Source organism: Homo sapiens, chromosome 5 (assembly GCF_000001405.40).
Source record: "Homo sapiens chromosome 5, GRCh38.p14 Primary Assembly".
Lineage (NCBI taxonomy): Eukaryota > Metazoa > Chordata > Mammalia > Primates > Hominidae > Homo > Homo sapiens.
This window is the reverse complement of record NC_000005.10, coordinates 112,742,157-112,767,983: the sequence shown is the minus strand read 5'-3', so window position 1 is coordinate 112,767,983 and position 25,827 is coordinate 112,742,157. Positions and strand designations below refer to the sequence as shown.

Sequence of the window (25,827 nt, the reverse complement as noted above, 5' to 3'; positions counted from 1 at the left end):
CGCCTCAGCCTCCAGAGTAGCTGGGATTACAGGTGTGGGCCAAAGTATCTGGCAAGTTACACATTTTAACTACGTATAAATATAATAATTATGTGTATTACTCAATGTACAGAGTAGTCAAAGTATTTAAGTGATAACCAGCTTGGCCAACATGAAGAAACCCCGTCTCTACCAAAAATACAAAAATTAGCCAGGCGTGGTGGTAGGCGTCTATAGTTTCAGCTACTTGGGTGGCTGAGGCACAAGAACCGCTTGAACCCAGGAGGTGGAGGTTGCAGTGAGCCGAGATCATGCCACTACACTCCAGCCTGGGAGACACAGTGACACCCTGTCTCAAAATAAACCCCAAAAAACAAACAAAAAAACAAAATAAGTGACAAAATAGGTCTTCAGAATCCCAGGAAACGGCCTTGTTTATATTTTTAGATTTAATGTAAGTGCAATCAATAACATGCTATCTTTGAGTTTAAAAATGCAAAATGCTCTAAGTGTTAGCTATCACCTACTATAAATTCACAATTTAAATATTATATTACAAAATAACAATAAACTGGAGTACACAAGGCAATGTTTACTATATGAAGAAAAGTTACCTCTCTTTCTCAAGTTCTTCTAAATATCCAGTACTTTCTCTGCTTCCATTTACAAACCCTCTTCTTGGAAATGAACCCATAGGAACAGGACTGCACTCTCCAGAACGGCTTGATACAGATCCTTCCCGGCTTCCATAAGAACGGAGGGACATTTTTGACCGCAGTTTTACTCCAGGGAAATTACTGCTATCTAAGTTAAGCTCTAAATAAAATAGAAACAAGTTTTTATACAACAATTGCTTTAAGCAGTCTAAAATATTCTTAATGTTATATTATTTTAAAGTGAAATATTAGGTTTACATTTTAACCACAAATATACATGACTGAAAACAAAAATTATTTAGGACTTTCCCTGAAAAGTCCACTTGGGTCAGGGTAAAAATAAGGAGTGTGTTAAAGGAAAATTAGATAAAATGTACTTCCTTAGACTTCCTCTAAATAATATTTTAGAATCCAAAAGTAATTTCTCTGTCTGGCTTCAATTATTATCAAGCACTTTCTCTGTTCTGACACTGGAATTTTCAAGCAACAGAATGAGAAAGATATCCTTTTAAAACTGCTAAAAATGAATTATAATCAACTTATATATGTGAAAAGGTTAAAGTATTTCTATCCTGAATGAAGAAGACAATACTTCTTCCAATGAAACAGTAGGCTCAAGTCTATGGCATATAGAATACTAAAGCCCTATTTAGTGACTGGCAGAATAGCAACAAGCTTTACAAAGAGCCGAAAATTATTTAAGGGAGGGATTTAAAATAGTTCATTCAAAGCCAGTTAAATGTTTAACTGAAGAAATGACACACAAATACATTTTTTATTTATTTGTACTTTAACAATTACATCCTGAGGGTAAGGCTAACATACCAAGAAAACTGATACCAACACCCAAATCGAGAGAAGCTGTACTTGGATCTACACACCTAAAGATGACAATTTGAGCTTAAAAAATTATTTTAAAACACCTTTTTAAAATCTACCTTTAAGACGCTCTAATAAATCAATCTGTCCAGAAGAAGCCATAGCTTCATCTTCAATACTTCCTTGTAGTTGTTTAAGTACTTCCTGTTAAAAAGAACACAATATATTAACATGAAATTCTAAATAACTTCAAGACATGATTCTGTATTTCTTGACATTTAAGTATGCTGAGAAAAAAATTCAGATCACTCTCAAAGCACGCACCTTATATATATTACCTATTATTCATTATTAATAAATAAATCATGGCCAAATAATAATAGTGATATTTTGAGATAATGGTGATTATGGGGAGTCTCTGTGCAAGGTATTAGAAACACATTTAAGATACATTCATTATTTCAAACCTAAAAACCAACAATGCAAATTATTCTCATTTTTCAGATAAAACAAGTGAGACCCAGAGACTTGCTCAAGTTACAAAAGCTACTTATGTGTTTAGAATCCATGTCTCTTAAGCGTGCACCAACATGACCATAAAAAACACCAAATTAACACATAATCTATTTAACAACTTCAACATTCAAGCTTTTATATACCACATTTAAGTATATTCTGCTAGTATACTAATTTACAATTAGCATACATTCAAATGACTGTATGTTCACTACTTCTTGACTTTTGATGCTTTTCTTCTTTCCCATGTAATCCCTTTCTTGATCATTTTTTCTCAAAGAATGTTGGAAATTTTCATTTTCTACCAGTTTTTCTGCCATTACATTTGTGAACTTTGGCTCTTATTGCATGCTACTTAATAATAATTTATATTATTTTCCATTTACTGAGGCATTCCATTCTAGCTCCTAGCATAGTTCTTTGGCCAATCAGGTTTCCTGAATGCAAGACAAAATATTTGAACATTTGCAACTTTGTAACTAAATGGAACGTTCCCCTATAAGAAAAGTAATCTGTAAATACATTAAAAGGAAAACCTGTCAAAAAGTGAGTGACTGGAGCAAAGACGGTTTCACTGATTTATCTTGACAGTGACATTGTAAGCATTCATGGTGGCTCATGCCTGTAACCTCAACGCTTTGGGAGGCTAAGGCAGGAAGGTCACTTGAGTCCAGGAGTTTGAGACCAGCCTGAACAACATAGCGAGACTCTGTCCCTACAAAATTAAAAAAACAAACAAACAAAAACCATGAGTGGTGGCATGTGCCTGTAGTCCCAGCTACTTGGGAGGCTGAGGCAGGAGAATCACTTGAGCCCAGAAGTTTGAGGCTGCAGTGAGCCACAGTCTCACCACTGCACTCCAGCCTGGGGGACAGAGTGAGACCTCAGCTAAAAAAACAGAAACAAAGAAATCGCCCCCAAACCCCAGAATTCCTTTTAATAAATAGCCTTAGTATCTGACCTTCAAAATAATAGACTATGTTGGAGTTTGAAAGGCTTTGGTAAGTAGATGTGGGGGCATGAAGGTGACTGTATTATTTTCAAAATATTCCAGAGTGTTTTACATTTGTGGAATAGAAAACAAATTTGCTCAGTGATAACTTCCTTTACTGAATTTGAATATGCCCATCAAAATGTCTACTATAAACTTCAGGGCACCATCTCTTCCATTTAAGAACTCTCATTGGAGACTACCTGTGATTTTTCCAGGATTCCAATTCTCTTTCCATCCATTGCTACTGTTTTAGTCCTTCAATAATCCTTTTTTAATCTTATCCTTATTTCTCAGGCTTCCGGTCTCACAATTCAACAACTACCCTTGAGCAGTTAATTTCCAATGACATGTCTCGAATCCTAACTTCACTTGCAAACTTCAGACTCACTTTTCCAACCAACTGATGGATGCTTTACATCTGTATGACAGGTACCATACATCTAAATGTCCAGAACTGAACTAACATTTTGTACCAATAAAGCCTATTCTTTGCCTTGTATTCTCTCAGTTAAATGGCATTAGCCTTCTCTTTCTCCTCCAGCTCAAATCCTTAGCACCTCTTCCTTCACATTCCCAGTTATGGATTTCTGGTGATTCTACCTCTATTAGCTCTCTTACAGCTATCTCTTTCATATTCTTACTGCCACTATCTTGTTATTAACCCTACCTAAACTATGAAAATAATTTCCCAAGTGGCTCAACCTTGCACAGAGCTGTCAGAGCAGCCTTTTTAAGGCACAGCTGTGATCAGGTCTCTTTTTTTTTTTTTTTTTTGAGACGGAGTCTCGCTCTGTCGCCCAGGCTGGAGAGCAGTGGCGCAATCTCGGCTCACTGAAAGCTCCGCCTCCCAAGTTCACGCCATTCTCCTGCCTCAGCCTCCCCAGTAGCTGGGACTACAGGCTCCCGCCACCACGCCCGGCTAATTTTTTTTTTTTTTTTTTAGTATAGTAGAGACGGGGTTTCACCGTGTTAGCCAGGATGGTCTCGATCTCCTGACATCACCATCCGCCCGCGTCAGCCTCCCAAAGTGCTGGGATTACAGGCGTGAGCCACCGCGCCCGGCCGATCAGGTCTCTCTTTGTAAGATTCTTCTCCAAAGCCTACAGTAGTGTTCTCAAGCGTCAGCATGGATCAGAATCACCTGAAGACCTTGTTAAAACATAGACTGTCGATTCAGTAAGCCTGGGGTAGAGGCTGAAAATCTGCATTTTGAACAAGTTCTCAGGTGAAGCTGATGCTGAAAGCAGAATCATTAAAATGTTAACAGTGTTATTCTATGGAGACTGAAATTACAAGCAATTTCTTTTTTACTTGTTGTGTCATACTTTTTAAACAATATGTATTAGAAAAAATCCTACTTGTTTTTAGAAAAGTTACAAAGATTTAAAAGTTTAAAAATAAAAAATCCTTCGTACATCATTGGACATACATCTAATTTTTTCAAAACTAATGGTACATTAATGGTCTTTTTAAAAAGAAATAATAAAAACTTAAAATACTAAAAAAAGAAATTAAAAAGCCATATAAATTCAGATGTCCAACAATAAGTATTAAATAAACCATAGCATTTTTTAGCTGTACCTACAATGGAATACTATGCAACTGTAAAATACATAATCTGACGTAAGATGACAATAAATTACACAGAAAAAAAAAACCTGCAAAATATGATGTCATCAAATGCAAGTTTGCATAAATGTATAGAGAAAAGAATATATATATATACTATCAAAGGTTACTTTTACCTCTGGTGATGGGATTTAAATTTAAAAAAAAATAGTTGATTTTGATTTTTTTTGTCCACACTTCCTAATTTAATAAAATAGTGAATATACTCAACTTGTAATAAAGTTCTATTTTTAAAAATTTCTGTACACATTGTTAGAAATCTATTGATAGCTATAAGCATAAAGGTAAATAAGATTTAAGGTCAAACAATTTTTAAAAAGATTCCCAAAGTAGTCACCTTGGAAAGCTACTAACTTACTCCAATGATGTGTTAAATTACTTTTGTAAGTGCTTTGAGTTATGAACCTCATCAACAAAATCTGTGTAAATTTACAGTCACATCCAGTTACTTTGCCTTAAGATGATACCATCCAATATGACCTACATTATTTACTAGTTTGCTGTGAACAGTTTATGGCTATTCCACAATAAAAACTGACCTCAAGTAATTTTTTTCCTGTTTTATTGAGGCACAACACACATATGTAAAATACACTAATCCTAAATATCCAGTGAATTTTCACACCCATGTAATCACTATCTAGGTGAAAATACATTTCTAGCACCCCAGAGGGTTCCCTCAAGCTCCTTTTACCAATCTTCATTTCCTAGAGGTAACCACTATTCTGGCTTCTTTATCAGAAGAGTTTGGCATGCTCTTGACCTTCATATAAATGGAATCACACAGTACATAAGTATTTTGTGTCTCACTTTTTTTGTTCAACATAGTATCTGTGAAATCTGTCCATGCTGTTGCCTTATCAGTTCATTGTTTTTAAATGTTGTATAGTATGTAGCAGTCCACTGTATAAATACAGCCCAATTTATCTATCCTTTCTCCTCTTAAAGGGGCATCTGGGCTGTTACCAGTCTGCAGGCTATTATTTAGAATGTCACTATGAACATTCTTGTACCGTTTAGTGGACACTTGCCCTCACTTCTCTTGAGTACATTTCTAGGAGTGCAAACACTGAGTCATAGGGTTTAATTTTAAAGGAAACTGCCAAAATGGTTTTTAATACTTCTCTCAGCAATGCCTGAGCATTCCAATGCTCCACATTTGGTGTGATCAGTCTTTTAAACATCAGTCATTTGAGTAGGAGTGAAATAGTCTTTGCATTTCCCTGATGCCAAATGATGCTGAATCCCTTTTCATGGACTTATCTGCCATTTATCTTTCTTTTTGAATTGTCTTTTCAAGTCCCTGGGTCACATTTTAAAAACTGGATTGTCTTTTTGTTACTGGTTTGTGGGATTTATATATTCTGAAGGAATTACTTAATATATTCTGAACTGAGCCTTTGGTCAGATATATGTATTGCAAATATTTTCTCCTCTATGGCTTACTTTTTCATTTTCTTAATGAAGTCTTCTGAAAAGCACAGGTTTTTAATTTTGATGAAGTTTATCTTATACATTTTTATGTTTAGTCTTTTGTGTGTCCTAAGAAATTTTGCCCACCCAAGGCCACATAGATAAGATTATCCTATGTTTTCTTCTAGAAGCACACTCGAGTCTTTTGATGAACAAGAGTTCTTAGTTTTAATGAGGTCTATCAAATTTCTTTCTATATATGGTGCTTTGGCATTCTGTTTAAGACATCTTTGCCTACTCCCAGGACAAGAAGCTATTACCTATGTTTTCTTCTAGAAGCCATTGTTTTGTCTTTTTTGTTTTTTCCATTTTTTTCTCTGTGCTTCAGTTTGAATATTTTCTACTGATCTTTTTTCAAGTTCACTAATTCTGTCTTCTCACTAGTTCACTAATTCAGTGTTCAGCCTGCTGTTAAGCCCATCCAATGTTAATTTCAAATATATTTTTCAGTTCTAGAATATCTATTTGATTCCTTTTAATTATAGACTCCAATTCTCTGTCAAAATTTTCTATCTGTTCATTTTTCTTTTTTTCAAGACATTTATAATACTTATGTTAAAATCCTTGACTACTAACTGCAACATGTGGATCATCTGAGTTTGCTCCTATTACCTATTTGTTCCCTTGATTATCAGTAATCTTCCAGTTTCTCTGCATTTCATATAACGTTTGACTGTATGCCAACTGTGTATACAAGAACAAAAGAGACTTAAGATGATTGATAGTATTTTCCTCTAGAGAGTCTGCCTTTTCCATTGTTGGGGTCTGATCTCCTCAATCCAATTAGCAACTAAAAATGGATTGGGACCCGCTGGGGGTGGTGGCTCACACCTGTAATCTCAGCACTTTGGGAGGCCGAGTCAGGTGGATCACGAGGTCAGGAGATCAAGACCATCCTGGCTAACACAGTGAAACCCCGTCTCTACTAAAAATACAAAAAATTAGCCAGGCATGGTGGCAGGTGCCTGTAGTCCCAGCTACTTGGGAGGCTGAGGCAGAAGAATGGTGTGAACCTGGGAGGTGGAGCTTGTAGTGAGCCAAGACTGTGCCACTGCACTCCAGACTGGGCGACAGAGCGAGACTCTGTCTTGAAAAAAAAAAAAAATGGATTGAGACCTAGTTGCAATTTTAAGTTCACAACTAACTGGTTTGGTTTTCCCAGTTCCTTGAGTGTGTCTCTCTATATTCAGATAGAAAATATGAAAGTTCTCCATCTCCTCAGCAGTTAACTTCTTACCCTATACAGTATCAAAATCTGACATTTATCTTGAATGGAAAACCAGTCATGTTTGATATACTAGGTAGGTCTCCCTCTAATAGGTCTTTCCTAAACATTGCAGGAATATGGGATATTTCACTTTGCCTTTCCAGTTCAGCCTTATTCTCTGGTAGCACTTAACTCTCTAGCCTTAAATGTTGTTTCTCTTGGAGGTTGTAAACTCAGGTCTTTAATCTCCTGCTCTACAAAATTTAAAATCTGGCAAATGACTTGAGGAGACCTGTGGTATGAAAGTAACATGTCTCTCCCTCTAGCAGGACTTCGCCTGCTAACATTCTGCGTTTCTAGTCTATCCCAAGTCTCCTGCACTACAAGACTCGGCCAATATCTCATGGTAAAAATGAGCCATGCATTTAGAGCTCCTCTAAATGCTAGTATCTCTACATCTGCCCTCATGTTTGTCAAGGCTGCCAACGATTTCATTTTCTTTCATACCTAGTCCTGCAGAAAGTCCTCAAGAGTTTCTTTCTCCCAGTGAAGTCCTCCTGCTTGTGCCAATGATGAATCTCAATCTGTACCCAGAATCAATATACCCCAGGAAGAAAATTACCAGTAATCTCAGCTTATCTAGAAAGGGTTCTTTCTTCCTAAGAATTATAGTTAATAAAGAGCTTGATGATTCCACAGTCCTCCAGTGTCCTTAAAAGTATGATTTTTGTATTTTATCCAGTGTTTTCTAGTTTTTGAGTGGGACAGATTTCTTGGGGGCTGCATACTGCATACAACCTAGAAGAGGCCCTTGATTTTGAAGAGTTTTTAAAAGAAAATGGAATACAATTGCAAAGCAGTTCCAAAAAAAAATGTTTCAAAAAGTTCTTTGAGAAGTGGCAGCTTTTAAATACATATGTAATTTTGAAGGAGAGAATATTCATTTGTATTTTAAAATTCTGGAAGCTCAGTTTTAAAAGATTAATTACACTATATAATCACACATTGTCTTAGAAGTATTTTAACATTTTAGAAACATTAGAAAATTATTCATTAGGCTGGGCACGGTGGCTCACGCCTGTAATCCCAGCACTTTGGAGGCCGAGGCAGGAGGATCACAAGGTCAAGAAATTGAGAACATCCTGGCTAACATGGCGAAACCCCATCTCTACTAAAAATACAAAAATTAGCTGGGCGTGGTGGTGCACGCCTGTAGTCCCAGCTACTCGGGAGGCTGAGGCAGGAGATTAGCTTGAACCCGGGAGGCGGAGGTTGCAGACAGCCAAGATCATGTCACTGCACTCCAGCCTGGTGACAGAGCAAGACTCGGTCTCAAAAAAAAAAAAAAAAAAAAGAAAGAAAGAAAGAAAGAAAATTATTCATTAGAAATGAAATCTGCTGTGGTTATACCAGTGATATTTATCTATGAGCAACTTTGTCATTTCAGGGAGGCTGCTACTTGACCCACTTTTATTTATTTCAGTATATCATAATTAAAGATGCTTTTCATTACCAGATATAAGTACACTTGATAATTACATCTTCAAAATACATTCTGAAATGTTGATCTCGGTTTTTCCTTACTTTCTGAAAAGATATACTTTACATGTATATTGTTTTACAGTTTATAGACCAATTTATAAATATTAAATTTTGTCAAACTACAACAAAGATGTAAATGCTTCAATAACTTGCCTATAGATAATTCTTCCTACACCATGCCATCTTTCAGCTTTTTATCTCTAAAATGCCATATTTACCTTGTTGCTATACTCAGTATTTTAAAGTCAATTAAAGAGCTCTAGGTAGGCTGGGTGCGGTGACTCATGCCTGTAATTCCAGTACTTTGAGAGGCCGAGGCGGGTGGATCACCTGAGGTCAGGAGTTTGAGACCAGCCTGGCAAACATGGCAAAACTCCGTCTCTACTAAAATACAAAAATTAGCCGGGCGTGGCGGTAGGGACCTGTAATCCCAGCTACTCTGGGAGCCCAGGAGGTGGAGGCTGCAGTGAGCCAAAATTGTGCCACTGCACTCCAGCCTGGGCGACAAGAACGAAACTCCATCTAAAAAAAAGTTGTGGGGAGGGGGCCAGGCGTGGTGGCTCATGCCTGTAATCCCAGCACTTTGGGAGGCCGAGGCGGTGGATCACGAGGTCAGGAGTTCGAGACCAGCCTAGCCAACATAGTGAAACCCCGTCTGTACTAAAAATATAAAAATTAGCCGGGCGTGGTGGTGCACACCCGTAGTCCCAGCTACTTGGGAAGCTGAGGCAGGAGAACCGCTTGAACCCGGGAGGCGGAGGCTGCAGCAAGCCGAGATTGCCCCACTGCACACCAGAGCCCAGGCGACAGTGTGAGACTTCGTCTCAAAACAAAAAACAAAAAACAAAAAACAAACAAACAAAAAAAACAAGTTGGGGGGAGGGCTCTAGCCATGGAGTAAAAAATACACTACACAACTTTTTTTAAGATTAGCTATAATTCTGCATTTATCTGATTTCATATCATCTAAATTCCATGTAATCTCTATTTTATTTTCATTACAAAAAATTTCAAACATATACCTAAGTATGCAGAAAATTATAACAAAGCCCCATGTACCTTCATATCCCACATCAATAATTATCAATTCATGGTCAGTTTTATCTCATCTACACCCATATCCACTTCCTCTATTTCCACCCCTCTGCCTCAGACTTATTTTTAAAATAAAGCTCAGGCATCATACAACTTCTTTGTAAATATTTCAATATGTATATTTAAACAAGGATTCTTTCTAAACACAAACACAATAATATCATTATACTTAAAAATAAATATTTCCTTAATATACAGTGTTCACATTTCCCTAACCCATAAACACTTATTTCCCTGGCTGCTACAAAGACACATATAATCAAATAGCAAAGCAGTGTCCTCTTTTGCCACTAGATGGTACTACTACATAAATTTTAGACTTTAAGTAATCCGGTTGGAGGAGACCTACTTTTTGCTGTTTTTTGTTTTGTTTTTGTTTTTGTTTTTCAGACAGACCAGGTCTGGCTCTTTTGCCCAGGCTGGAGTACAATCTTCCCACCTCAGCCTTCCAAGTAGCTGGGACCACAGATATACGCCACACCTGGCTAATTTTTGTATTTTTTTGCAGAAACAGAGTCTTGCCATGTTGCCCAGGCTGGTCTCAAATTCCTGAGCTCAAACAATCTTTCTGCTTGGCCTCCGAAAGTGCTAGGATTATAGGTATGAGCCACGGTGCCCAGCCTCCTTTTGCCTTTTTTGGGGGTAAAGAGATTAATGAACAGGAAACGTGATTCGAGTTTATATAAGGTATTACAAAGTCTAGCAAGTGATTTTGGGAGAAATAACCATTGTGTGGATTAATTTTAATCCACAGTAGGAAGTGCCAATGGTTTCAAAAGTGTCTACACAAAACAATATTCTAAGACAAAATAAATAGCTCATGGTTTATGCTCTTTCACAGCATAAAACCTTAAAAAGAGATATAATTTCATTACAGGGCTGTAATTGTTATGGTACCACATGTCCAATTCTAAGGAAATATGTTAATGGATTCACAAGATGTCTGTTGAAGCACATGCTGAGTAAAATAAAATTTATGGTTGGTTTCAGGTATATCTGAAGTGCCACTATTCCTGATGTATATAGGTTGAGCATTCTAAATCCGAAAATTTGAAGTCTGAAATGCTCCAAAGTCTTGAGCTTTCTGAGCACCAACATGACACTCAAACGAAATGCTCAATGGAGCATTTCAGATTTTGGATTTTCGAATTAGGAATGCTCAAGAAGTATAATACAAGTATTTAAAAATCTGAAAAAATATAAAATCCAAAACACTTCTGGCCTGAAGCAATTTTGGGTAAGGGATACTCAACTTGTATTATACCACACATATAAATGATCAACTAGATATTCCACTGTAGAAATTTGAGGGTGTGACTTCTATTGTCACTCTGAGAGACATTCCACTTCAGTGTGGAGATGGATCTAAGGGTAAGTTACATTGTCTCTCAAATATGAGTTTTGAATTGCTTAAGGAATTAAACAAACTTTAAAAAAGAGATCTCAGAGTTCTACACTACAAAACAGACATGTACTATCTAAACAGGCCTGCCAGGAGGAGTTCTCTGCGAAATATACCATACTAAAGTAGATGAAAGAATATTTTAATTCTGTATTTTAAAACTTTTAAAAACACATGCCAAGTATAATGATTTGAAATGTAATGTGTTGATCAATGTTAAAATACCAAACTACTCTTTTTTAACCTGTTAGGCAACTAATGCAAGTCTTTTTAGGTCACCCATAGTTTGTGGAAAGAATAAAATGTTTGTTTATAGTCTACCTTATTTCCCAAGGGATTTGAAGTAGGTATATTGGATGTCTGTCATTGCTGGGGACAGTTTTACCACAGAAGAGGCTAATTAGAGTAGAAAAGATTGATAGAGGGATGGAAAAAGAGAATAGGACACATGAGCAAAGGTTGAGCTGTGATGATACTGAATATAAAGGGTAAAAGAGAAGCAGAAACAGTTACCTCAGTGACACACAAAAGTCTGGAGAATAAGGGAAACCTTGAAATGCATAGGAAAAAAACTAGGATAGAATAGGAAATTAGTAAGGAATAAGAGTAGTGAACAGACAGGAAGAACTGGACCAGGAACTCAAATGTTAAAATAGCCAAGAGGGAGAAACAACACAAAGCAGGAAGATTTTTTTTTTTATAAAGGAAGTAATTTTTTTTTTTTTTTGAGAATGGGGTCTTGCTATATTGCCCAGGCAGGTCTCGAGCTCCTTGGCTCAAGCTATCCTCCTGCCTCTGCCTCACTAAGAGCTGGGATTACAGGCCTGAGCCATCACACCCGGTGGAAGTAATATTTTTGTTGATAATGTCCAATTCTATGAAGTTATTAAATTCAGTCAGAAGAGAATCTGCCTAAGTGGGAATTAAAATGGCTAAAGTTTTAACCTCAATTATTTTGAAACCAGAACATTTTCCCCACTATAGACGATTTTCTAACCTGTCTTGGAGGTGATCAGAACTTTTCAGTACTATTTGGCAAGCCAATTTTAGGGCTTGAAGGTGCCATGGAAATCATCTAGACTAGTGTGATGCCTGTACTTGCCAAATAAGACAACTTAAGTTCTGAAGAATATACAGAGGTCATATAGCTCAGTTTGTGGGAAAGCCAGGGATAGAACCAGGTACTGACTTTCAGTTCATGGCTCTTCCCAGTAGGGTATCCTGATTTTCTTGATCACCTATCACTGCAGCACTTAAGGGGTGGCAAGATCTGAGGGAGTTGGGGAGGAAGGCTACACTTAATATTCAAGGCATATTCTAAAATCATGAGGCTAGTTTCTATGAACTACACAGAAAACCTTGCCTCAGTACAGTGATGCTATATTTGGTCTCTTCTCTTTAATCTTAAAAAGAACTAAGAACTAACTAGCCATTGGAGTTTTACACTTATTTTCTTTATATGATTCACTGAATGAATTCAATATATCTTATTTAAAAATATAAATGCTAACTTTTGCAAGAAAGAGTTTACATATTATTGCTTAATTTAAAATACACTTTTAAGTAAAGTGTCTTACCTCAAGTTTACAAGAGGGAATACTGAATAAAAATGGATAAACTACAATTAAAAGTCACAGTCTTGATACCTTCATATTAGATGCCTCAGTTTCCAGTTTTGTAAGATGATTGGAATTATCTTCTAGCTCTTGTCGAAGATTTGAGTTCTCCATCTTCAGTGCCTCAACTTGCTTTAACAACTGATCATATGAAGCTGCAGCCATCCTTGGCTACCCTTGGACCTATAAGGTTAAAAAGGATTTTGAAATTCACTACTAAAAAATTTAGTGGCTGCTTGTTTTTAAAGAAAGGGGTAAAGGAAACAAAACTCTTAAGACGTTTAAGAAGAATTGTGTTAATATGCTAGTTTTTGGTCTCAAAACAATATTGTTCAAGTAGCAGCATCTAAGAGGATGAAACAGTGGAGTCTTAGTTCAAGATAAATGAAATTAAAATAGAAGAGAGAACTTTAGTTGTGTCTGAATACATTTGCCTTCTCACAGATGGATTAAACTTTCTATCAAGTAATAATTTCTTCAAGGTTTTAAAGATATTTTACCCATTCTTACAGGCAAAACTTAGGAAATATAATTATGATAAAAATTTATTTATATTAGTAATACTATTTTATTTCTGAATTTTATCTGATAGTCACAGAATTTTAGAGCCAGAATGGATTAATGAGATTACATATTCCATTTCACACTTTTTATTTGATAAAAGGCTAATCTTACACATCCTCCATGGTGAAATAGTTCTGAAGTTCTAAGATGTCATTAAAAGGCAATCATTTAACAAAATGGACATGAAGGAGAGCATTAAATGAAGACTTTAAGCCTTTTTGATAGGAAGATGGTAAATAAGAATTACTAACATAAAGTTCAATCACATTTATTCAAAAGGTTGACTATAATAGCCTATGCTATGGCATATGTGGTCTTGGGATCTGCTGTGCTCAAACTGAGGCCAAAAGATACCTAAAGAGAATGGATGACCTTAGGAGTAGAGACTGTCAAAGAGAAATGAAGCAGAGTCTGGCAGTTATTATGACTGGGAAAGAAGAGGAGAGACAAAGAAGATACAAAAGATAGCCAGGTAAGAGGACTTTAGGAAGAATTATAGAATGCTAGGAGTTATATTAAGATTAACCAAGTAAGATTCAGGAGATCCACATTCTCTTTTTAGTTTAGGTCAAATCATTTTGGAACAAATAAAATCCTGCCTATCTTAATTACTTAATAGCTAAAAAGTATTAAGTAGTTTGCACTTAAGCAATACTTAAACATCTTGACATTAAAAAAATGCCTCTGTAATATGAAATCCATTACACAAAATAAGGCAGACAGGTTGTAACACTGGCTAGTCACGACAATATTGGAGTTCAGCAATTGGAAGACTCTACCAAAGGAAATCAGGGGACTCATCTTAGATCTAGTTAGTTCTACAACGGCTAGAATCTACAGTAAACCTGGTACAATCCAATGACATCTGAGGAGGAAGGGGAGTCCTGCAGGCAGGGATCACCTACAAAAGTCTTTGGTTGAAAAAAATTGAGTCTTGTGTGTTAATTTCAGGCCTGGTCATGATTTAATCTTTGCCCTTTCATTTTAATTCATTTCACAATTTGTAAATGAACACTTACAATCTGCTTCAACATAACTTACAGTGATATTATTAGGATTAATAAAAAAAGGTATGCTAAAAATAAAAGTACTATGTAAATGTAAGTTATATTATGAAAATATACATGTAACATAACCTCTTCAGTAAGATATAGGGTTCACCCATAGTTAAGACCCCTCCTCTGATCAATGGGCAAGGGGTGAAGAAGTAATGCAGCCAAAGGAGACATCTCAAAAATAAAGGAAAAATCCACAGGAGTGATCATTATTTTGTTTTACATCTTTTTAATAAGCAGGTCTGAAAATACCCAGCACATTATAAACCATATGACAGAGGTAGGGATCTGACAGAATTTGAATAATGTGAACCTTAAAATTTCTCATTTCAAATAAAATTAACAGGTAATTTTACATCAAAATAATAAAACAAAATAAGAGAAAAGGTAGTAACAGAGAAAAAAATGGGCATGCACAAGTTTACTGAGACACAGAAGTTATAACCTTACACAACCACAAAAAGAGCCGGATGGGCAAGATGAGCAGAGACTGCTAAAAGTACCCTTTATTACAGGAATAAAAAAATCAACTCTTCAGATGAACAATTAAACTTTTAATCATCTTTTTTTCCCTTAACTCCAGATTCCCAATCATTAAAGTTCTTTCTGCTCTAGAAAGAATCTAACTTTATGGAAAAAATAACAAGTTTCATGGAAGAATACCCAACCTTATATTGTTTTAGGATGCTGCAGCCATACCTCCCTAATCCAAAACTTGTGAAGTCATACAAAATTTGTGAAGTCATAAATTTACTTTGGAATGCCTTTTTTGCAATTACACGAATTGCATACCAAATATATCTTTAAAACATTTTTCAAATTTGAAACTTGTGTGATCACATTACAGCTGCCACACACCATGAAATGGGGAAAACCTCCCAATCTTTCACTTTACTGAGAGCATGCAAACCTCTCAATTTGTTTTTCTGCAGTTAAGATGACCACTAAAGACACTGCTGCACCTTGTAAGTGTGGGGTAGGGGAGAAGAAAGCACAAGGACTATTATCTAGACTTTTATTCAAATGTTCATTAGAAAATAAATTTACAAGTAATGTAAGAAATTAAAGCAAGGAAGCAAAAAATTTCAGGCTGGCAAAAGATAATCAGAATTAAATGTGGAGGATTATTATTTTCAGAAGTTTGAGATCACTTCTTTTTTACATTAATGGAGCTGCTTTTATTGTTTTGTTTTCATGGAAAAACAAAGATATATTTTCCAGCATTTTTAGATGAAATGAGGAAAATATGAATAAGAAGGCAGGAAAGCAAAAGAATCATAAAAGATGACTCTGCTCAACTCTATGCAAACAAATTTGAAAACCCAAAATAATTTACTAGAAGATATAATCTATCAGAACTGATCCCAAAAGAGATGAAAAATATAATTTACAATGAAAAAGTCACTATTAGAAAATTAATTATATCATTTAACATAATAGATATGGGAAAAAATCATATGTTCATGCCAAAGATGAGGAAAAGACACTTTACAAATTTAATACCCATTCTTGTTGAAAATACTGAATAAAAAAGAACATTTCTTTAACATGATCTATCAACCCCAAGGCCAACAGCATACTTAATGTGGAAACACTGGATATAGTCCTACAGTCAGGGTACCATTCTATTAGTCATAATATTAGTCAACACAAATTAATGAATAAAATTAGAAAAAAATTAGAAAGGGAACATTATTCACAGATAACACAATTATATACCTGGAATATACAAAAGCATCGATGAAATATTATTATAATAATATAATTTGGCAATACAGTATAGTACAAAATATACAGAAATCATTCATTTATAGGGGAGAGAAACCAGACAGAAGATAAATGAAAGAAAAGATCCCATTTACAATAAAAAATGCAAATATCTGGGCATAAACTACAAAAAGAGTCCAAAACATATATGAGAAAGATAGAAAAGTAGACTTCAACAAATGGAAAGACGTTTCTTATTCTGGTATACCAAGATTCAGCAACATAAAAATGCCATTTCTCCCTAAGCTAACTTATAAATTTTACAGTCCCAGTAAAAATACTATATAAAGCTTTTGTTTATTTTCTGCAGCTAGACATTTAAAAAATTGAAAATATGAAAGAAGAGCAGGGAGTAAACCAACAACATATTAAAATATTGTACAAAGCCTTTATAATTAAAACCATATAAATGTAGTTAACTATATTGTACCAATAGATTAGTTTTTTTGTTTTGATAATTGTAGTACAGATATATAAGATGTTAATCATCTGGGGAATCTGTAAAAGGTATATAGAAACTCTCTGTACTATTTTTCCAACTCTTCTGTAAGTCCAAAGTTATTTAAAATTAAAAGTTTTTTAAAAAGCTACAATACCAGTACATGAATAGATCAACCACGAGAACACAATGTTTAAAATCCAGAAGTAAATATATATAAATTCAGTATATGATTAAAGTAGCATCTCAATACTTGTAAAAAGATGGAATTTAAAGTGGTGCTGGGAAATAGGACAGCCATGAGGAAAAAGAAAAAACTGCATCTATTCCTCATACAACACACTAGGATAACTTGCAAAAAGGAACAGAGATTTAAATGTTTGAAAAACATTTCATTGCTTATGAGAGCAGACTTTTATTTTTTTAAGTAAAGATATTTAAATGGTGTACACCCTCTTCAAAGGATGGTATGGAACATTTTAATTTTAATTTGTTTAATGGGTGTAAGACACACAGAGGGCCAAGTAGAGTTCTCTAAAGTAATGATGTCCGTTACTAGACTAGGAGTAATAAAGGAGATTCTTAGGGTACTTCAAACAAATGGGAAAGTTTCTATTTGCTATAAAAGCACAACTACGTTAAAATAAATAATGCACATCTGTACAGTGAAATACTACATTGGTATTAAGAAGAATGAGGCTGATGTAAAAATGAGGTTGATGAAAAACAAAACAAACAAACATAAAAAACAGGCAAAAGCCAAGAAAAAAAAAAAGAATGCTCATCACTAATGCCTCATGTGGTCCCTCCTCTTCCAGTAAAAATAAAGGAGTGCATAAGGATAAAAAATATCACTTAAAGAACATACAAAAATACAGTCACTGCTTATAGAATCAAGGTATGGTGTCTGGTGGTAAGCCTTCCTTTTTATTACATACCCTTTGAAGAGTTTGAAAAGCAAAGCATTGGCCAGGTGGCGGTGGCTCATGCTTGTAATCCCAGCACTTTGGGAGGCTGAAGCGGGCGGATCACTTGAGGTCAGGAGTTCAAGACCAGTCTGGCCAACATGGTGAAACCCGATCTCTACTAAAAATACAAAAATTAGCCAGGCGTGGTGGCATATGCCTGTAATCTCAGCTACTTGGGAGGCTGAGGTGAGAGACTAGCTTGAACCTGGGAGGTGGAGGATGCAGTGAGCCGAGATCGCGCCACTGCACTCCAGCCAGGGAGACAGAGCAAGACTCCATCTCAAAAAAAAAAAACAAAAAAAAAAAGAGAAAAAGAAAACCATCCAAAAGTTGGATTTAAAAAAAAAAAAACAACTAAGTATGATTAGAGACAGGAAAAAGAAAACAACCTCCAAACATATTAAAGATTCTAGGGAGGGGGAATTGATTCAAGAAGCAACAGAAAAACCTTAATAGTTCTACAACTATTAAAAAATTGGACCAGGCGTGGTGGCTCATGCCTGTAATCCCAGCACTTTGGGAGGCCAAGGCGGGTGGATCACGAGGTCAGGAGATCGAGACCATCTGGCCAACATGGTGAAACCCCGCCTCTACTAAAAATACAAAAATTAGCCGGGCATGGTGGCATGTGCCTGTAGTCCCAGCGCCTCCGGAGGCTGAGGCAGGTGAATCGCTTGAACACGGGAGGTGGAGGTTGTTGCAGTAAGCCAAGATCATGCCACTGCACTCCAGCCTGGGTGACAGAGCAAGACTCCATATCAAAAAAAAAAAAAAAAAAAAAAATTGGAGCAGTAAGTATTAATATCTTTCCCCTCCTCCTCCAAATCCTTCAAAATACCGTATCTGAATGGTTTTACAAACACCTTCTACCAAACTTTTAAGGAACAAATCATTCCAATCTTATACAAATGCTTCTAAGGATGGAAAAATAGCAAATATTTTCCAATGCATTCCATGAAGCCAATCTAACCATGACATACAGGTCAAAGATTGTGTGAAAAAGAATAATCATAAGCTAATATTTACAAATGTTGATTTGAAAAATCTAAACGAGATTATCAGGAAGCAGAATACAATAACATACAGTAAAGAAACTACAGCAGAACAAAGCTGAGTTTATTCCAGGAATGCGAGTAGAGTGCAATATAAGATCATTTATATGTGTCACTCGCTACATTAAAATACTAAAGAAAAACCATCTTAGACAAAGAAAAAACTTTCCATAAAAACCTGGAAATAGGAGGGAAACTGTCAGAGCTAAAGCAAACTTCATTCTTTTTTTCTGAGACAGGGTTTTACTCTGTCACCTAGGCTTACCGCAGCCTTGACCTCCCTGGCTCAAGTCTCAAGTAACCCTCCTGCTTCAGCCTCTAGAGTAACTGGGACTACAGACACAAGCCAACATGCCCAGCTAATTTTGTAAACCTCATTCTTTTTTTTGTTTTTTAAATAGATGGAGTCTTGCTCTGTTGCCCAGGCTGGAGTGCAGTGGCATGATCTGGGCTCACTGTAACCTCCCAGGTTCAAGCAATTCTCATCCCTCAGCCTCCCGAGTAGCTGGGATTACAGAGATGGGGTTTTACCTGTTGGCCAGGCTGGTCTCAAACTCCTGACCTCAAGTGATCCGCCCGCCTCCACCTCCCAAACTGCTGGGATTACAGGCGCTCCACACCCAGCTATAAACTTCATTCTTCATAGTGAAATGTTACAGACATTCTCTTTAAAATCAGGAATAAGATGTCTACTATCCACACTTCCAGTCAACATAATCCTGGAAGTCCTAATTCACACAGTAAAATTTAAAAAAGAGAAAGTGTTATCATTGGAAAGAAACAAAATAGAAACATCTTAGAAATATAAAAATTTTAGGCTTGCCAGATACAAAATCAATAATATACCAAAAAGTTTTAAATTCCAAGCAGAATTCACCTCATCCATTTTAATTTTCTCTTTAACAACCCTTTTCTATTTCTCTTTCTCTTCCCTACTAAGGCCCCATTAGGTGGTGATATTCAGTTTTCTGTTTGCCATATTCTTTCCCCACACTTTCCTTTGCTTACATTCTGTAAATAGCTACATAACACTGGCTAGACCTATCCAAGCCCATACCACGTGTGGGCAGGTCTCAAGATGCCCATCCCAACGACCAGGAGCGGGGGTTGGCAAGCATTTTCTGTAAGGGCCAGATAATAAATATTATAAGGCTTTGTGGGTCGTATGATTTCTGTTGCAACTACTTGACTTTGTAGCTGTAGCACAAAAGCAGCCCCAAACACATAAATAGATGGGCATGCCCATGCTCTAATAAAACTTAATTTACAAAAACAGGTGGTCTAAAGCATAATTTCCTAATTTGGGTTTTCAAACACCCCAAGGTAACCCAAATAATTTCAAAGGCCATTGAGAAATTCCTAATACTAAAATTAGTATTTTACTTTTAAATACTAAATTTCCAACCTGCCATGTTGGAAAGAACAGAGAACTAGGAAGTCTTAGAATCCTTGATTTCTTTTCAGTGATCCATTTTAATTCCCACGATTTCTTCATCTTCCAGAAACTTGTTACAATGTCAATTTGAATGTCTCTTACTCTTTATGGCATTGTAAGCTCCCATCTTTATTTTGTTTTTACTATCACTTTAATGGGGTCTTAGGCGAAAGAGGTGATAAATTTGGGAGATTAATTCACTAGCTTGAATAAGAAATTTTACTTTACATTTAGATCTTTAATTCATAAGGCATTTTTATTGCTGTGTATGGCATGAGTGTAGTGGTCTAACTTTATTGTGTTTCATATGGATAACTGAAAGTAGTAATAAACAGTGCAATTACATCAGCACTATTAAACAAACCATTTCTTTTCCACTGAATGGAAACGTATTTCTTATAGCTCAATTCTCATACTTAGAACTGTAACTATATTTATATTAATTTGAGAGAGGCTCACATTTCCATACTAAGTCTTACTATATCTCATGAATAATTTAGCCTCTGCAATCAAATTTTCCAGGGTTTTCCCCCCTCAAGAAAAAGGTCCTATGCCTCTGTATCTTTCACATCAAATTTATCCCTAGGCTTTTGGCTATTTGAGTTGCTGTGAATGACCACCACCACCCCACATCGAATACTGCTAATGGCCAGGTGTGGTGGCTCATGCCTGTAATCCAAGCACTTTGGAAGGCTGGGGCTGGAGGATCACTTGAGTGAGACCAGCTTGGGTAATGCAGTGTGACCCCTTCTCTTAATAAAAGAAAGAAAGAAAAACAAATATTGCTAGTATATATAAAAGCTACTAATTCTATTTAACTCATAACCCTTGTGTGGCCACCTTATCAAATGATTCTATGAATTCCAATAGGGTTTCCAGTGGATTTTCTGGGTATGCAATCATATAATCTGTAAGTGATGATACTTGTGACTCTTCTTTCCTGCATTTGTACCTCACTTCTTTTTCACGTTTTATTGTTAGCTTGAAACTTTAAAATGTCGAATAAACTATCTTATTCTCGATTTTAATAAGAATGGCATATTATTTCACTATTTAATATTCTTACTCAGATTTCAGTAAATTTTTTAAACATGTTTAGGCATTTTCCTTTGAGTTTAAAGTTTTTGTTAGTAGTGGTTGCTGAACGTAAATAGCACTTTTTTGTATAATCATATCGTTTCTCTTTTAATTTCTTGATGCAGTCAGTTATAAGATTTTTGAATGTTGACCTATCCTCCATTCCTGAAATAAACCCCAGTTGTTCATGTTTTATGCTTTTACGAGCCTGTTGATTTTTCCATATTTCACTTAGAATTTTTAAAGAGAAAATGTATAGTTTTAAATTTTTATAGTATTTTGAAATAAGGTTTTCAATTAAGCTTATGCTATCTCATCTTTTTATATGGTCTGGAATAGTTTGAATAGTGTCTATTCTTTGAAAGTCAGCTAGAATTCAAATCAGAAGGTGCCTTTTTTCTTTTTTCTTATCAAAGTGACGGATACTCAAAAGAGGTGCCATTTTAGAGCTAAGATTTTTTTAAAGTATTTTAAAGTTTCTTCTGTGATTTACTCTTTTAATGCTTTCTCCATCTTGTATTAATTTTATTCATTAATAGTTCACTAGTAAACTATTTCTTTCCTCTAGTTTTTCAAATGTATTGTCAGAGTTGTATATATTCTGTCATTTAAAAATTCTTTATCTGAAGGTATCTTTTCTCACTGATGTTCTGTTTGCCTTTTATTCCTTTAAACTTTTTAGGGTTTCATTTATTTTATTGGTGTTTACCAAAACAAACAAAAACATCAACACATACTTTCCACTACTTTATTTTCTATTTTATCAATTTCTTTATCTTTACTAATTATATCCTCTTATTTTCCTTTGGTTTACTTTGTTATTTTTAATAGTTATTTAAAGTGAAAGGCTGGCGTGGTGGCTCACGCGTGTAATCCCCATACTTTGCGAGGCAGGTCAAGGTCAGGAGTTTGAGACCAGCCTGGCCAACATGGTGAAATCCTGTCTCTACTAACAATACAAAAATTAGCTGGGCGTGGTGGCACCCGCCTGTAGTCCCAGCTATGGTGTGGGGTGGGGGGGTCGCTAAGACAGGAGAATCGCTTGAGGTGGAGGTTGCTGTGAGCCGAGATTGCAACACTGCACTCCAGCCTCGGCGACAGAGTGAGACTCCGTCTCAAAAAATAATAATAATAATAATAATAATAATAAAGTGAATATTAATTCATTTATTTCCTTACTTTACTTAAACATTCACTTATTCGTTTCATCCTTAATAATATAAATTTTAAGGACATCAATTTTTCTCTTAGTACAGCCTTATCTACATTCCACAAGTTTTAGTATGAAGTGTTCCCCTCTTTATTTCCAGATAACTCATGACTTCCATCTTGATTTCCTCTTTGATCTAGGGGATACTTCAAAGATCTGTCTCAATTGTTAGGTATATAAGGCTTTTTGAGTCATCTTTTTATTGTCATTGATACATTGCTTATTAGATTAATGGAAGACTATTGCTTATAAAATTGTTACCATCTGAAAATTTTTAAAGGTTTGCCTTGACTAATTTTCATAAAAATTTTACTAAAAATGTTTTAAAAGGAAAAGTATATAAAGTTCTATAACTGACCAGCATATTATTTAAATCCTATATATGCCCTTATTTTTTATGTATTTGATATGTGAAATTCAGAAAGCCTGATATCTATTTAGTACTTACAATATCTCACGTAATGTAAATGCTTTCTATATATTAACTCATTTAATCCTCACAACCACCTATGAGGTAGGTGTTACTCATTTTTGAGTTAAGAAAAATGGAACTCCAAAACAGTAGATAACTTCCCTAAGAACACATATCAAGAGCCTATGCCAGAATTCAAATCTGTACTTGTTTTTAATGCTCATGCTCTCAAAGACTGTATAACTTCTGTCTGGTGTTCACAATCTATTATATCTGATAATAGTCTACCTTCAAAACTTATTTCCTATTAAGTTCCAAGATAACCTTCCTCAAGTAAGTCTCTCCTCACTTTCCTCTACAAACTATTTCTTACCTTTATATTTTTGTTTATACCTCCTCCCCTTTCTGAATACCACATCCTTTTTTCCTCTGCTGTTATAATATATCCTCATCCTTTAAGGCCCAGCTCAGTTTCTTACACAAAACCTTCCTGATGTCTCTAGCCAATAATGAATCTTCCTGCTGGCTGAACAGTAAATACTATACAATTTGGCCTAACTTCTCAAATTATTCCATTTTACCTTGGGGTGTTTTGTCTTCCCAGCTGGAGCATAAATATCTTGAAGACAAGGTCTATATCTAATACTTAGCTTTTGTAATTCCCAAAATGCTTTACTCAGCGACAGCCATATAAAAGACAAATATACACGTAAGAATGAACAGAAAGGGTGCATTATCAGCCACAGAGGGCAGACAACAGAAAGAGAGGGCACAAGTTCAGAGAATGTCCAAGATGACTTTTCCATAAAAAAAGTAAGACAATATGCCTTGTTATCCACAAGGTACCATATTTAGGTATCTTATTATTCACAAGGTACCAAGTATTAAGGGAGTGTTATGGGTTGAACTGTGTTTCATAAAAAGATATGTTACAGGTGTGAGCACAGTGGCTCACACCTGTAATCCCAGCACTCTGGGAGGCTGAGGTGGGAGGATCACTTGTAGACAGGAGTTCGAGACCAGCCTGTGCAATATAGTGAGACTCTCTCCTTATGAAAAAAAAATTAAAAATTAGTCAGCTGTGGTGGCACATGTTTGTAATCCTAGCTACTTGGGAGGCTCAGTTGGGAGGACTGCTTGAGCCCAGAAGCTACTCTAGCCTGCGCAACAGAGGGAAAAAAACCAACAAACAAAAAAACACCAAAAAATGTCATGTCAAATGTGACCTTATTTGAGGACAGAGTCTTCATAAATGGATCAAGTTTGAGATGAGGTCATACTGGATTAGAGTGGCCCTAAGTTCAATGACTGGTAAGACAATGACAGATCAAGTTTCAACAAAGCGCCCACAGAACTGGTGTTATAACGAGTCTAAAAGATACAAAGAGAAATTTAATAAGGCTGTGTTGCTTTAACGTTTCTCAGTTTCTATTACAGACTATGTCAGAAGTAGCTGATACACTGATATAAATTAAGTGATGATAAAATCAAGAATCTAATTGAACAATGAATATCTGCTTACCATCTTGGTGATCATTATATATTATACTATGCTTTAAATAAACTTGGTAAATGAAAATCTGAAATTACCAAAAGAAAGTAACACACATTCGCAAAAGTAAAAATAACTAAAAAAATCCTTCAGCTTAAAAAAAATGGAGAACCAGATGAGTATGCCTGTGTATGGCCCCACAAAGATGGCCAAATCCTAGTCCCCAAAACTTATGAATGTGTTACCTTATGTGGCTAAAGGAACTTTGCAGATGTGATTAAGTTAAAGATCTTGAAGCTGATTTTCCTGGATTATCTGGGTGGACCCAATGTAATCACAAAGGTTCTTTTAAGAAGGAGGCAGAAGGGTCAGAGAAGAATATGTGACAAGAGCAGCAGAGGGTCAGATTCAGAGAGAGATTTAGAATGCTGCTGGCACTGAAGATGGAGAAAGAGGCCATGAGACAAGGAATGCAAGAAGCTGAAGAAAAGCAAGAAAATGGATTCTTCAATAGAATCTCTAGAGGAGACGCAGAGCCACTGATATCTTGATTTTGGTCCAGTGAAAACCGTGTCTGATCTCCAGGACTGCAAGATAATACATTTGTGTTCTCTTAAACCACTAAGTTTGTGTTAATTTGTTACAACAGCAATAGGAAACAATGCCCTTATTATCCAGTGATCCCTCTCCTAGGGATAAATCCAGTGAAACTGTTTCACTGGTCGATGTAATGATCTTAAAATATATCATAAATTCTTTGACCCTACTCCTTTAAGAGGTGGATCCTAATTCCTCTCTTTGGTGGGCTGGACTTAGTGACTCATATCTAATAAAGAGAATACAGCAGAAGCAATGGTGTGTGGCTTCTGAGTCTAGGTCATAAATGGCCTTTCTGTTAGAATCATTGAGGGAAGCCAGCTGCTATGTCATGAAGACATTCAAGCAGCCCCATGGAGAGGCCCACGTGACAAGGAACTGAGGTCTCTTGCCAATAGCCAATGAAAAACTGAGACTATGTGAGTTAGCCATCTTGGAAGAAGATCCGTCAGTCTAGTCAAGCCCTTCAGATGACTGTATCTGTGACTGACATCGTGACTGCTACTTCATAAGAGATCCTGCCTCAGTCAGACCATCCAACTAAGACATTCCTGAATTCTTGCCCCACAGAAACTGTTTAAGCCACTAAGTTTTGGTACAATTTGTTATACAGAAATACATAAATAACATAGTCCAAGGAGATATGTATAAGAATGTATATCATAAAGGTGTTTGTGGTTAACGGGATTTGGAGAAAACTTACGGCCTTCACTGGAGGAACAGTGATAGGTACTATAGAATACTATAGAGCAGAGTTAGCATCACAAACTAGATGGACATAAAGTAAAATGGATAGATCTTAAAAACAGTATTGAGTTAATAATGTTCAAA

General features: G+C 35.8%; 1 protein-coding gene across 37 annotated transcripts in view; it reads right to left on the bottom strand.

Annotated features, from left to right (window-relative positions):
* The window catches only part of APC (APC regulator of Wnt signaling pathway), a 138,742-nt gene that overhangs the window by 78,256 nt on the left and 34,659 nt on the right, over positions 1 to 25,827 (bottom strand). For 26 of the 37 annotated variants that reach the window (NR_176366.1, NR_176365.1, NM_001407470.1 and 23 more), the window contains 3 exons: positions 12,959 to 13,111; positions 1,574 to 1,658; positions 594 to 795 (listed from right to left, as the gene is read on the bottom strand). Coding sequence is in view for 31 of the 37 variants with exons in the window: in NM_001407447.1 (NP_001394376.1) it covers positions 594 to 795; positions 1,574 to 1,658; positions 12,959 to 13,093 (422 nt within the window). In the remaining 6 variants the exon portion in view is untranslated. The remainder of the gene's footprint in view (positions 1 to 593; positions 796 to 1,573; positions 1,659 to 12,958; positions 13,112 to 25,827) is intronic. The other 11 variants (NM_001407446.1, NM_001354897.2, NM_001354902.2 and 8 more) reach the window with 1 other exon arrangement.